We start from the raw sequence: 15,173 nt of genomic DNA, 5'->3' as shown, positions 1-15,173 counted from the left end.
TGGTACCAGCAATTCCCTTTCTCATTTCAGAAATGAAGGGGCTTTTTTTTTTTTCTCCCCTCCAGGAGAACGGGATATTCAGTAATTTGTCATGTGCTAACTTGGCTCTCTTAGAAGTTTCTATTTTAAACAAAAGGACTGTTTCTCCAGTGTTTTCCCCTCATGCCATTACATGACAAGGCTGACATTTCTCAAGGGTCCTGTGTTTGGTACCTCCGCGTATAACCCTTAGGTGCTCACAGAGACATGGCAACAGGCAGTGCCCCATGTTCAAGGAGCAAATTATAGAAAGTTATATTTGTATTACCCTATATATCCTAATATATTATATAAACCCTATTATGCTACATATACAGGTTACAGATTATATACTGTCCCGTATATCATATTTATTATATATGTATGTATATCATATGTATATATGTATGTGTATATATATATATCATATATATTTGTGTATGTATATATATCATATATATTTGTATATATGATATATGTATATATAGCATATGTATATATTTGTATTACCCTATATATATTTGTATTACCCTATATATCCTAATACATTTATCCTATATATTTATTATCTTATAAATCCTATTATGCTACATATAGAGGTCACAGGTTATATACTGTTCCATATATCATATATATCATGTGTATATAATATCATATATATCATGTGTATATATCATATATATCATGTGTATATATATCATATATATCATGTGTTTATATGATATCATATATATCATCTGTATATATGATATCGTATATGTGATACATGTACAATGATCCCTGAGCCGGACTGGATTAGGATGCCTCGAGACTAGGGGTCCAGAGACAGAGGCCTCCAGTTCCCAGGCACTTTGGGAAGAGGAGGCTGAAATGATGCATCAGATTTACAGCTGCAGTGACGAGAACATAGAAGTTTTCACCACCGTGATTCCTTCCAAGGGTGAGTGAAATTGTCCTTGACTGTTTCCTTAACGTGGCGTCTTAGGCAGGAGGGGAAGGACAGTCACGTGCTGCCTTACTACGGTTTATCCTCAGGTCTCTGGGGTCTGATGGACTCTTGGTTTTGATGGTATTTGATTTTTTTGGAGGGGGGAAAGAGGCACAAGGATAAACATCAATCACTGAGAAACAATCCATCAGAGGGAAGGCGAGAGCAGCTAAATACTCCCTGTCTCATTTAATTCAGTACCAACAGTCCAGTACACCAATGGAAGTGACAGCAAGCCATTGCTACAGACACAGGTGAAAACAAAATCTCAGGGCAGCTAGATATACGATATCATATGCATATGATATCCTATGTATGCCCTGTATTTTATATATTCTCTATGTATATACACACAAATAAGGTTATGGTTGAAACATATGTATCATGCCAAACCCACTGCATTTTATTACACTGTTACAGCTTCATTTCTTCATACTAATACTGATGGTGATGAAATAATAATAATGAGAGTTGCCACTTATTAAATGCTTGCTATAAGTTAGGTAGTCTGATATATAATTTCATTTAATATCTACGAATACCCAATAAGACTAGCTATTATATTTGCCATCTTATAGGTGAGAAAACTGAGGCATAAAGCCACTGAGTAACTCTTGTGAGATTAAAATATCTAGTTTGTGGTAGAATTAGGATTTAATCCCTAGTTTGACTCCAAAGTCAAATGTACTTAACCGGGCCAGCCTCAGTGGCTCACGCCTATAATCCCAATATTTTGAGAGGCCAAGGCAGGAGGATCACTTGAGCTCAGGAGTTTGAGAGCAGCCTGGGCCACGTGACGAAACCCCATCTCTACCAAAAATACAAAAAATTAGCCGGGCGTGGTGGTGTGTGCCTGTGGTCCCAGCTACTCGGGAGGCTGGGGTGGGAGGATTGCTTGAGCTCAGGAGGCAGAGGTTGCAAAGAGCCAAGATTGCCCCACAGCACTCCAGCCTGGGCGACAGAGACAGACCCCATCTCAAAAAGAAAAAGTACTTAACCAGTAAATTTTACTCTATTCTTTATCTCCTGTCAACCCAAATAACAGAGAGAAGCTCTCTAAAAATATGTAGTTTAATTGGGAATTGCAGGACACAGATGCTATGACAAATCTTAGGCACATCCAGGGAGGCTAAGGTAAGGGGAAGTTTTAAAGGCAAAAGAGTACATATAGATTGTTTTGAAACAAACAGAACATTGGTTACAAGGGTTTATGACAGGAGTTGTTGTCAGTTCTTTAGTGGAGACAGTGTGTCAGGCAAGTGTTCTTGTACAAGCCGCTAGCTGTCTTTGTGTGACTCATGTAGCAAACTATGGTTTGATAACATTTCCTGTGATAGTTCCTTTTATCAGGCAAATCATGCCTGAGAGCCTCCCCCTACCTCCATGACCTCCTGGCTCTATTTTGTTAAGGCTGACATAAGTGACCCAATTTTGATTCTGACAACTTTCCCACTGCAAAGCCTTCCATTACTTTGAACTTGAGTGGACCTGATCCATATGTCTTAGACCTGGAGTTGGCATCCATTGATATCTCTATAGTAAACAAATTGAGGCATTTACTCATCAGGTAGTCGTCAATATTATATACCTCTTTCTTTGAGAATTGCACCCAGTCACAGAGGATGGCTCTGGGAAGCCATGTTTATTCTCCTTGAACTTGTCCTCTTGCCACCTTTGTCTGGACCACAGTGGACATCTAACCCAAACTACTGCCTTGTGGAAACAGAAATTGGGCTTTGGTCTGGGGCCAGAGGAAAGGTGTAAACTCTGAATATCTGGGATGTTTCTCAGGGCCCAGGGGGTAAAATTGAAGGGAAGTCAGTATAAATAAGTGAAACTGGTGGTCTGGCAGAGGCCTGGGGCCTGAATGCACATCCAGTGTAAAGAGTTTTAGCTGGAAGCGGGCACAAGTGCTTTTACCATGGTCCATACTTGGTGGGTCTGTGGTCATGTACACACGCCAGTAAGGGCCAGTGGGATGGGAGGGTGGACTGTGGGTGAAGGGAGTGTTGGGAGAGTGAGAAAGGGTGTTGGGGATTGAGACAGAGAATAAAGAGGCCCAGCTCAGGAGGGAGGGAGGATTGCACGTCTCCCGCCTTACCTCTCTCAGGCCAATGCCATGCCTATCTTGGAGTCAGTGAGATAGTGAGATAGCTCAGTCTCCATCTGATAAAGTTCCTGTTGGCTTAAGTGTACATAGGTTTTGGTCATTTTCAACTAAAAAGGAGGGCTGGGTGTGGTGGCTTACATCTGTTATCCCAGCACTTTGGGAGGTTGAGGTGGGAGGATCACTTGAGGCCAAGAGTTTGAGACCAGCCTGGGCAACACATCAAGACCTCTCTACAAAATAAAATAAAATAAAATAAAATAAAATAAATAAAATAAAATAAAATAAAATAAAATAAAATAAAATAAAATAAAATAAAGATTAGCTGGGTGTAGTGGCACATGCCTGTAATCTCAACACTTTGGGAGGCTGAGGTGGGAGGATCCCTCGAGCTCATGAGTTCGAGGCTGCAGTGAGCTATTACATTATTGTGCCACTGGACTCCAGCCTGGGACACAGAGTGAAACACTGTCTCTAAAATAATAATAACAATAAATAAAAAGGATAGCGTCTAAAAGTCTTCTTTGTGCCTGCTGTCTATAAATTTTATGATCTCCCCAGTGATACATTTTTAGATAATGTAAAGTTTAGACGAGTACCTACTGCAATAGAAGTGGAGATCTAAAATTGTTTTAACAGACTGGACTGTTGTACCAACATCTACAAGATGAAATTTAACAAAACTAAATGTAATCATCTATCTTTACATTAACACAAATAATTGATTTGGTACAGAATGGGGGTGACATGCTTTAGCAGCAAATTAATAAAAAGGAATCTAGGGTTTTGGTTAACCACGTGCTTAATATAGCCAATATTAAAGGGCAGGGCCTAAAAGACACAACGTTTCAAAGACATGATGCTAAACTGAAATTAAGAACACTCAGGGAAACCCAAAAGCCCATCAGGATTACTTGGACTTAATTCCAAGGGATCTAGACTGGATTAGGTGTTAGCTAAGAAAACCCAAATTTAATCAATCACAGTTATTGAGCCTGAAACAGGCTCAATAATGTGAAGAAGCATGTCCAGAGCAAAACAGTTCTTGGCGGGCTGCAGTGGCTCACACCTGTAATCCCAACACTTTGGGAGGCTGAGGTGGGTGGATCACTTGAACCCAGGAGTTCGAGACCAGCCTGGGTAACACTGCAAAACTTTGTTTGTACTAAAAATACAAAAATTAGCTGAGCATGGTGGCACGTGCCTGTGGTCCCAGCTACTTGGGAGGCTGAGGTGGGAGAATCGCTTGAGCCTGGGAGGTCAAGGCTGCAATGGGGATTGAGACAGAGCATAAAGGGATTGTGCCACTGCCCTCCAGCCTCAGCAACAACAACAACAACAAAAAAAAAAAAAAAAAAAAAGAAAAGAAAAAAAAGAGAAACAGTTCTCAAGAGATCATTTTTACCTGTTTGAAATATTTTTTAAATAGTAAAAATAGTACACACTTATTATAACAAACTCAAAAATTATACAGGAGTATACAGAAAAAGTGAAACCCACTTCCCCCAACCTAGTATCACTTCCTAAAAGCAATCATTGTTTACAGATTGGAGGTTTTTTTGCAGATATTTTTCATGCTTAGTCACACATATATTTACATATACATGAATGAGATTTTTAAACAATAGAAATGGAGTCACACTATGCACACACATGTGTGTGGACATTTATAGTTCTTTTAGCAGATATGTAGGAGATCACTGTGTTATAGAAATTTATCCACTCTTCTTGATAGATCCATGGCTTACTTCCATTATTTAAAATTAGACACAATGCAGCAAAGTACACCCTTGTGATGTATCTTTATACATGTCTTCTAATATTTTTATAGGTTACATTACTAGCTGCAGAAGTGCAGGTCATAGCATATGCATGTTTTAAATTTTGAGGGTTTTTTTTTTTTCCAAATTGCCTTCCAAAATTTCTTCATCTGTTGACACTTTCAGTAATAGGCCATGAGGGGCTTATTCCTTACACCCTTGGCAATATTTGATATTATCAGTCTTAATTTTTTGCCGAAATGATCTTGTTTGGCTTTTGTGCTCAGAGCCCAGAATCTTGATCGTATTTGACAATTAGGGTCGTCTTAGCCCAGGTGCTTTGCAGTTCGTGGAGAGGTGGATGGCTGAGGCCTCATTTTGGAATGCAAACAGTGTAACCCATATGCAGCAGTAAGTATATGCTACACCTGTGAGTACTGGTGACAGCTCCTGTCCAGGATGAGGCTAAGCCTAAGGTCAACTCTGTTCTGATCTGGGTTCCTCTTTTCCCAGGTCCAGGGAACTCACTGCTGAGGGTTTCATGCTGACTGCACACCAGTGCTCACTTACTGCTGTTTTTACATTTGGCTTCTACATTTACAGAAAGGACAGTCAATTGATGTCAATGGAAGACTTTATTTTTTTTTAATTTTTTTAATTTTTATTTTTAGAGACAGGTCTTGTTCTGTTGCCTAGGCTGGAGTACAGTGGTTTGGTAACAGCTCACTGCAGCCTTGAACTCCTGTACACAAGTGATTCTCCTGCCTCAGCTGGAGGCTGGAGCCACAGGCATATGACACCACACCTGGCTGATTTAAAAAAAAATTTTTTTTTTTTTTTGGTAGAAACAGGGTCCTGCTATGTTACCCAGGCTAGGCTTGAACTCCTGGCCTCAAGTGATCCTCCCACCTTGGCCTCCCAAAGTGCTGGGATTATAGGTGTGAGCTACCGTGCCTGGCCACAGTGGGAGACTCTTTCTTTCCAGGATTCTCTGTAAGATGCTTGCCACTTGCTTGACCAGAGAGTGGCTGTGTTTCCTTCTCCAGCCTGAGAGCTCTGAAGATCTAGCCCACCAAAGGCACTAGAAGAAGCCCTGTCTGGGCCGGGTGCGGTTGCTCGTGCTTGTAATCCCAGCACTTTGGGAGGCTGAGGTGGGTGGATCACTTGAGGTCAGGAGTTCGAGACCAGCCTGGCCAACATGGTGAAACCCTGTCTCTACTAAAAATAGGAAAATTAGCTGGGTGCGTGCCTGTGATCCCAGCTACTCGGGAGGCTGAGGCATGAGAATCCCTTGGACTCAGGATGTGGAGGTTGCAGTCAGCCAATATTGCGCCACTGCACTCCAGCCTGGGCGACAGAGTGAGACAAAAAAAAAAAAAAAAAAAAAAGCCCTGTCTGAGGAAGCTACCTTTAGGCTGAAACCTAAGCAGCGCTCAGACTCTAGCATGGGTACGAATCACCAGGGGATCTTGTCAAAATGCAGATTCTGGTTCTGAAGTTCTGGGATGGAGTGTGACTGGTCCTGGGCACACTGTGGAGTTAGAGCAGAATTGCCTTAAGGAGAGCAGAAGTTCCTGACCAGGATACATTAGAATTGTAAGCAGCTCAGGTCCTCCCCTAGACTATTTAAATCCAGTTACTAAGGGCCCAGGCACAGGTATTTAAAAACACCTTTGGTGGTTAAAATATGCTAGGGTTGCGGGAGGTTGAGGCTGCAGTGAGCTGTGATCACACCACAGCACTCCAGCCTGGGCAACATAGCAAGACTCTGTCTCAAAAAAAAAAAAAAAAAAATGCTGGGGTTGAGAGCCACGGATGTGGCACAGTAATTCTCAAATTGTCCCCAGAGAGCAGCATCAGCATCTCTGGGAACTTGTTAGACATGCGAGTTCTTGGCCCCATCCCGTCTGCCAAAGCAGGAACTGTGGGACAGGGCCCAGCGTCTGTTTAAACAAGCTCTTTAGGGGATGCTTATCCTCACCACTGGTGAATGGAGCATCTTGATAAACATTCACAAGCCTGGATCCCAGCCTCATTCTTTCTAATTCCAAAATCTTGGAGTGGTTCCCAGAAGTATGTGGCTTTAAAAGCACCCATAGGGTGCTGATTCAGTGGCTGAGCAGAGGGGTGGCAGCTCTCAACATGAGTGATGGCCTATGTATGGCCTCCTGGCTCATGCTGTACAGTGTTCATCCATCACCTCACAGGGGTCAAACCCAGACAAGATGCTGACAATGTTACTGTCGAACACTTGCTATGTACCAGGCACTTTATACATGAGCCCTACAACAACCGTGCAAGGTGCTCCTATCATGGTTTTACGAAAGCGAGTCTCTAACCCAAGCCAGTCATGACTCCAAAACCTGGGCTATCCACCATCTCAGAGTACCAGTTTTGGCAGATTAGTGGGGCACCGGGCTGTGGGCCTCTGAGAAGCCTCTGTTGTGTAATCTTCAGTGGCTTATTTTGTGAAATTGGAGATATATTTGTAATTTTAGCAAGCATAACATTCTCCTTTCAGTTCCTCTGAGGGAAAGAGAGGTGGTTTCAATCTTTAATTTATGCAAAGTGATGTTCTTTGTCTGTGAAGAGAACTCCTTTAATCAGAGAGCAGGTGCTTGGTATGTCAGGTTGTTAGAAAAAATACAGGATATCCAGTTAAATTTGACTTTACAATAAATAGAAAATAGGTTTAAAAAGTTATAAGTATGTCCCAAATACTGCATGAGGCATATTTATACTAAAAATTATTTTTTTATTAACAGAGATTCAAATCTAACTGAGCATCCTGTATTTTTATTTGCTAAATCAGGCAAGCCTATTGCAGTGAGTTTTCTGGCTCTGGTAATGAACCTGCCTCATTCTTCTGCAACCAGGGATGCTCATGTGTTAGAAGATGCGGCCAGGGCTTGAGAAGGAGCAGAATTAAAACTTACTTGTTAGGCTCTGCAATGACTGAGACAATCAGACACAGCCTGAACTTAATAATCCTTTAAAAAAAATAGCACTTATGTGCCAAGCACTATGCTATGAGTCTTTCATTCACCATTTTTTTTTTTTTGAGACGGAGTCTTGCTCTGTTGCCAAGGCTGGAGTGCAGTGGCGCGATCTCTGCTCACTGCCAGCTCTGCCTCCCGGGCTCACACCATTCTCCTGCCTCAGCCTCCTGGGTAGCTGGGACTACAGGCGCCCGCCACCACGCCCGGCTCATTTTTTGTATTTTTAGTAGAGACGGGGTTTCACCGTGTTAGCCAGGATGGTTTCGATCTCCTGACCTTGTGATTCGCCTGCCTTGGCCTCCCAAAGTGCTGGGATTACAGGTGTGAGCCACCGCGCCTGGCCTCTTTCACTATTTTATTTAATTCTCACAGTCGTATGACTAGGCCCAGTAGTAGTATCACTATTTTACAGATGGGAAAAGTGAGGCCAAGAAAAGCTTAGTGATTGGTCTAAGGCAGGATTTCTCAATTGCAGCACTATCAGCATTTGGGGCCAAATAATTCCTTAAGCAACTTATTTTAATTTTATTTTTTTGAGACAGGGTCTCACTCTGTCACCCAGGCTGGAGTGCAGTGGCACGATCGTGACTCACTGGTTAATTTTTGTGTTTTTTGTAGAAATGGAGTTTCACCATGCTGCCCAGGCTGGTCTCGAAGTCGTGGGATCAAGTGTGATCTGCCTGCCTCGGCCTCCCAAAATGCCGGGAATACAGAGTGAGCCACTGTGCCTGGCTAATTCTTTGCTGTGAAGTCTGTCCTGTGCATTTTAGGATGTGTAGCAGCATCCCTGGCCTTTATCTTGAGGGAGACAGGTGATAAACAAGATAAGTAAGTAGAATATAAAGCATATTAGAGAGTGATAAGGTTTAAAAAAAAGGAGAAAATATAAAGCAAGGAGGAGAGAATATGAGGGGTTGGCATGGATACTTGAACTTTTAAATGGGGTGGCCTGGAAAATAAACCTAATTAAAAAGGTGATCTTGGGCTGGGCGTGGTGGCTCACACCTGTAATCCCAGCACTTTGGGAGGCCGAGGCGGGCGGATCATGAGGTCAGGAGATCGAGACCATCCTGGCTAACACGGTGAAACCCCGTCTCTACTAAAAATACAAAAAAATTAGCCAGGCGTGGTGGCAGGCGCCTGTAGTCCCAGCTACTCTGGAGGCTGAGGCAGGAGAATGGCGTGAACCCGGGAGGCGGAGCTTGCAGTGAGTCGAGATCGTGCCACTGCACTCCAGCCTGGGCGACAGAGCGAGACTTCATCTCAAACAAACAAACAAACAAACAAACAAAAAAACAAACAAACAACAAAAAAAAGAGGCTTTCTTGGCGTGAGGGAGCTGCAGGTATCTTGGGGAAGAGCATCTCAGGCAAGGAAACAGCTGGCGCAAAAGCCTGGAGGCAGGGATTTTTCTATCTCTTTGAGGACTATTCTGGAGTCACTGGAATGGGGTGAGTGGGGACGGGGATGGTAGTAGGAGGTGATTTCCAAGAGGTAGCAGGAGGTAGGGTGACCACATAATTTGTAATCCAAATGGGGCTAAGTGGTCACTGTTAAAATTATGCTGGGACAACAGATATAAACTAGGATTATCCCAGGCGTGCTGGGTTAGTAAGGATTTAGTCATTACTCTGAGTGACTTGGCTTTGGGCAGAGCTGCAACATGACCTGACTCGAGACCTCTGTTTTGATTACTCTGCTGAAAGGGACTCAAGGGCAGCAAGGCTGAAGCAGGGAGAGTAGCTGGGGGGGCCATCACAACACCCAAAGTGAGAGAGGATGGGGGCGCAGATCGGGGGCAATGGCAAAGGGGCCCTGAAAACTGGTCAAATTATGGATATAATTTGAAGGTAGAACCAACAGGATTTCTGACCCATACTAGGCTACGGGTGTGAGAGAAAGACAGGAGTAAAAGATGGCACCAGCGGAAAATGGAAAGAGGAAAAGATTTGGGAGGAAGATCATGTTGCAGGTTAAGTTCACAGGAAGCAGAACCAGATGAAATGAGCATGCAGGAGGTTTGCTGGCCAGTGCTCTTGTGATCAATACCTGAGAGAGAAACGGAACAAGAAGGATGTGGTGGAGGAAGTTGCTGGGTAGCCACTTGGTCCCAAGAAGGGACTTAACCAACCCCATGGGGCAACTCTGAAGTTGGGCAGGCCCTTCAGAGTTACTCCAATGGGGCAAGTCAGCCAGGTCTCATACTTGACCTTCTAACTGACTGTCGCTGAGTGGAGGCAGTTCTGGGAAGGGTTAGGCCTCAGGCAAGGTGGCTCTCCATGGAAATCAAGCTCTGGAGTGGGGTTGGGTTGTCAGTCACCAACACTCTCAGCAGCTGGGGAAAGGGTGCCTTGGTCCCAGAGAATCTGGGTAGTGACTATGGCGTCCATTACAGATCAGGCGCTCAGTTTTGTACCCAGGAAGTTTGAGATGGCCCCTAGATAGTCAAGGGGGGATGCTAAGTGACTCTTGTCCCTTTTCTGCTGACTCCAAGGGCCAGCACAGCCTCTGAGTTCCTTCAAGGTGGCTTGCAACCCTTACTCTTTCCTAGCTCATGCTGAACTTCTAGAGCGGCATATTCCATAGAAATACAGTCCCAGACACATGGCTAACTTATTATTATTATTATTATTATTATTATTATCACTGAGCAAGTCTTGCTCTGTCATCCATGCTGAGTGCAGTGGGATGATCACAGCTCACTGCAACCTCAAACTCCTGGGCTCAAGGGATTCTCCCACCTCAGCCTCCCAAGTAGCTGAGACCACAGGCATGTGCCACCATGCCTAATTTTTTTTATCTTATTTTTTGTAGAAATGGGGGTCTTGCTATGTTGCCCAGGCTGGTTTTGAACTCCTGGACTCAAGGGATCCTCCAGCCTTGGTTTCCCAAAGTGCTAGGATTGCAGGTGTGAGCCACCATGCCCAGCCATACGTATCTAACTTAAAGTGGTATCGTATTCACACTTTAAAAGTTCAAAGAAATGGGTGAAATTTAATAATGTATTTTTTTGAAACAAGCGTTAAATGTTTGAACTGTTATATAAGCATTTTTTTCATTTTCTTTGAAAAAAAGATAAAATTAGGCAAAAATGCTTATGCTAAACAATAGGCTGGACACAATGGCTCACACCTGTAATCCCAGCACTTCGAGAGGCCAAGGCAGGTGGATTGCTTAGACCTAGGAGTTCAAGACCAGCCTGGGCAACATGGTGAAACTCTGTCTCTACAAAAAAATACAAAAATTAGCCAAATGTGGTGGCAGGCACCTGTAGGTAGTCCCAACTACTCAAGAGGCTGAGGTGCGAGGATTGCCTGAGCCCAGGAGATCAAGGCCGCAGTGAGCCGAGATCACGCCACTGCACTCCAGCCTGGGTGACAGAGCAAGCCCCTGTCTCAAAAAAAAAAAAAAAAAAAAAAAAGAAGCTACCATTTTCCAGTTATCTTTGAATGTTATCTTTTATGCTTTACTTTTCATTGTGAATCATTGTGAATATATACAAAGGTGAAAAGTGAAGCATATAGTACAATGAACCCTCAGTTACTTATCACTGAACTTTAACAATTATCAACTCACTGCCAAACTTAAAAAAAATCTTTTGTCTTTAGATTTATTTATTTATTTATTTTCGAGATCGGTCTCACTTTGTCACCCAGGCTAGAGTGCAGTGGTGTGATCTTGGCTCCCTGCAGCCTCCACCTCCCGGGCACAAGAGATCCTCTCACCTCAGCCTCCTGAGTAGCTGGGACCACCTTTATACTATTTACTGGTGAGCCCTGCAACATGATTTTAATACAGTGTTACTTATTCTTGAACAATTTCTATGATGTCAGCAAAGAGATATCAATAAGAATGATTGTAAAGTAGCTAGTCTTATAAGTCAAGAGTTAGGATCTTTGGTCCATTGCTCAATCCATTTCAGTATTTGATCTATATTATTTTCTAGCTCTTATGATTTATTGCTTGGCAGCTGATGCACAATTTCTTCCTTACAGGATGCTGTGACTTATTAATAAAGAACTTGAAAAATCTTACAATGAGTATTGTCTATTAGTTTCTTCTCAGTATGACCCCTTGCTTCAAGTCTTTCATACAGTACATTGGTATCTGTTCTCAGCACAAAAACTGTAATATATGAAGCCAGTGTTCAGGGAAGAAGTCACCAACATGGTAATAAACAATAACTCTACCTTCTGTCATTTGGTTATCTAACTCATCAACTACTCTTTATCTTCATCTAAAATGGGACAATCATACTCTTCATCATAGCCATCATACAACTGCTCTTCTTGGGCTAAATCACCCACATTAATGTTGTATTTAAGTCCTGAATTTTTTTTTTTTTTTTTTTTTTGAGACAGAGTCTCACTCTGTCACCCAGGTCGGAGTGCAGTGGTGCCATGACAGCAAACTGCAACCTCTGCCTCCCAAGTTCAAGCAATTGTCCTGCCTCAGCCTCCTGAGTGGCTGGGACTACAGGCATGTGCCACCACACCTGGCAAATTTTTGTATTTTTAGTAGAGATGGGGTTTCTCCATATTGGCCAGGCTGGTCTTGAACTCCTGACCTCAAGTGATCTGCCTGCCTCAGCCTCCCAAAATGCTGGAATTATAGGCATGAGCCACCACGCTCGGCCTCAGTCCTGATTTTGATGGTTTTTTGCCTAGTGTGTTTTTCCAATCTCTGGTTTACTGGTGAGCAGGATGTTTGGAAGCAACATGGTTCCTCGCTGTGATGGCTTTGAGTGCCTTGCTCACACACCCTAATCTACACACCACCCAAGCTTTTTCATCTATGTGTCCACCCACTCCCTCATCCCATTTTATTTTGTAACCAATTCCAGACATCGTATGATTACATCTGTAAGTATTTTAGTGTGGATCTGAACTTTTTTTTTTTTTTTTTACTTATGCTTTTTTGGCTTTCTTTACTACTTCTGGTTTTTTGGTGAGATCAGAATTGCAAGTCAGGTCTCTAGGCTGAATGTTATGGCAAACTCTTATGTATTTAAACGGATGGCTTGTTAATGACAGGAGCAACCAGAGTTGCTATTAGCTGTTGATTTATGAAGCCACATGTTCAGCTTGTATGACGGATGTCCTTAACATCAGGCGTGGCGGGCTCATTCATCTGTCTCTGCCCAGTGCTCTGCAGTCCTGAACGCACTCAACAGATGGGAAATTTCATGGCCACAAATGGAATTGTTTATCCTCTCATTGTTCCCGTGTCAGCAATCAAACTAAATCCATTACCCACCAATAAAAAGATCAGCCTGCTGCCAGTTCAGCTGTGGAAGGGGCCAAAGCTATGTTGAAGGGATTTAGAGTTTTAGAAGGGATAAAAAAGTAATAAGAAGCCACATAAAAATTAAGATCCCAGAGAAGAGTTTGAGTCTTTCATTCTAAAGCTGAAGGCTTTAAGGGATTTAAAAAGAAAGGCCTAGTAATTCAATATTTTCTTTAACATAAAATATACTCTGGAGACCCCCGATTATAGATAGTGCATAGCGTTTATTGTGTGTTGATGGCTTTATTATCTCATTTCAAAAAATCACAAGCACTCAAACTAGGCTTTGAAGAAGGAGGAAATGTCAGATTTATAATGGAAAAGCTGCTGAGATGTTAATAGCGTTACTACTGGTAGGAAGATTTTCTTTTGTGTGGATAAATAGCTGTCTGTTCTTATAAAGTTGTTCCTCTTTGGTTTAGCTAGTGGGTTCTCTGTACACTGATTTGTAAAAGGAGGTTCCTCAGTTCTGTGGATCCCCCAGGCTGCCCTCCCAACATTCTCAATGGACTATGGACCGTAAATTTTTATTTATTTATTTATTTATTTATTTATTTATTTATTTATTTATTTATTTATTTGAGACAGGGTCTCGCGCTGTTACCCAGGCCGAAGAGTAGTGGCACAGTCATGTCTCACTGCAGCCTCAACCTCCCAGGCTTAAGCAATCCTCCCACCTTGGCTCCCCGAGTAACTGGGACTACAGGCATGTGCCACCTTGTCTAGCTAATTTTTAAATTTTTTTGTAGAGATGGGGTCTCACTATGTTTCCCAGGCTGGTCTTGAACTCCTGGCCTCAAGGCATCCTCCTGCCTTGACCTCCCAAAGTACTGGGATTACAGGCTTGAGCCCCTGTGCCTGGTCTGACCATGACTTTTAAAAGTGGACCTTGGATGCTTTTTTCTTTTTGCCAGATTGGTTTTATATCAGGATGTAACAGGCAAGAGACCTTGGTGTCATCATTCATTGGTTATAGCTGAGTATCTGGGGGCATGCAGGCTTCACATTTATTTTCTCAAAAAAATTAGAGACTTTAGCCAATGAAAAATCAGGTTATCTGTAAGAAAAAGAAATAAGACTGGTTGTGTTGCTCTCTTTTTCATTCTATTCTGCAAATACTTAATGTACTGCTGTATATGGCAGCTATCATGCTAGATGATAAGGATCTGAGATGATTAAGACAGTCTCCCCCTCTTAATAGATTAGATGGGGAGATAGACAAAAACACAAATGCTTGTAAGATGTGTTTACAGCACGGAGTGGTAAGTGGAGGCCTGCAGAGGATGTTCTGAGAGCTCAGAGGAGACCTCAAATTAGGGTTCCTTGACTTCCCTGGAGAGAAGGGTGGTGAAGAGGTGACAGGGCTAAGGAGTGAAGAATGGGCAGGAGTTTGCCATGAGGTTTGGAAGGTTATTTCAGGCACAGGTAAGAGCCTGAACAAAGCTATGGAGGCCTGAGATGGTTCCTGAGGGAGTGTGAAGCTGGGGAGACAGGAGGCTGAAAATGGGGGAAGAGGCTAAACTATGCTGGCCCTGCCTGTCTGATGGGGCCATGTACCTTCTCTTGAAGTCAATGAGAAGCCACTGAGGGATTTTTCAGTAAGGAAAAGCTGTGGTCAGACAATTCATCTTTTATCAAAACCCTCCTGGATGCAGGGTGGAGAATGGATTGCAGGAGGTTAAGAAATGGAAGCAGCAGGCCGGGCGCAGTGGCTCATGCCTGTAATCCCAGAACTTTGGGAGACCGAGGCGGGCGGATCACCTGAGGTTGGGAGTTCGAGACCAGCCTGATCAACATGGAGAAACCCCGTCTTTACTAAAAAAAATACAAAATTAGCCAGGTGTGGTGGCACATGCCTGTAATCCCAGCTACTAGGGAGGCTGAAGCAGGAGAATCACTTCAACCTGGGAGGCGGAGGAGGTTGCAGTGAGCCGGGATCGCGCCATTACACTCCAGCCTGGGCAACAAGAGTGAAACTCCGTCTCAAAAAAAAAAAAAAAAAAAAAAAAAAGGGA

The 15,173-nt window shown here is 43.0% G+C and overlaps 1 pseudogene, besides 1 other annotated feature; it reads right to left on the bottom strand.

The window, feature by feature from the left end:
- Positions 7,376-7,535: an enhancer, noted in NCBI's record as "active region_27481". NCBI's record gives its function as "activates an Ori minimal core promoter by ATAC-STARR-seq in GM12878 lymphoblastoid cells {active_cell/tissue: GM12878}" and the evidence as "EXISTENCE:reporter gene assay evidence [ECO:0000049][PMID:35858748]".
- On the bottom strand, positions 11,756-12,215 carry LOC100131770 (TAF9 RNA polymerase II, TATA box binding protein (TBP)-associated factor, 32kDa pseudogene; annotated as a pseudogene).

The sequence above is a fragment of the Homo sapiens genome, chromosome 8 (assembly GCF_000001405.40).
Source record: "Homo sapiens chromosome 8, GRCh38.p14 Primary Assembly".
Classification (NCBI taxonomy): domain Eukaryota; kingdom Metazoa; phylum Chordata; class Mammalia; order Primates; family Hominidae; genus Homo; species Homo sapiens.
Note: the sequence above shows the minus strand (reverse complement) of the source record. Positions and strands in the feature narration are given on the sequence as shown.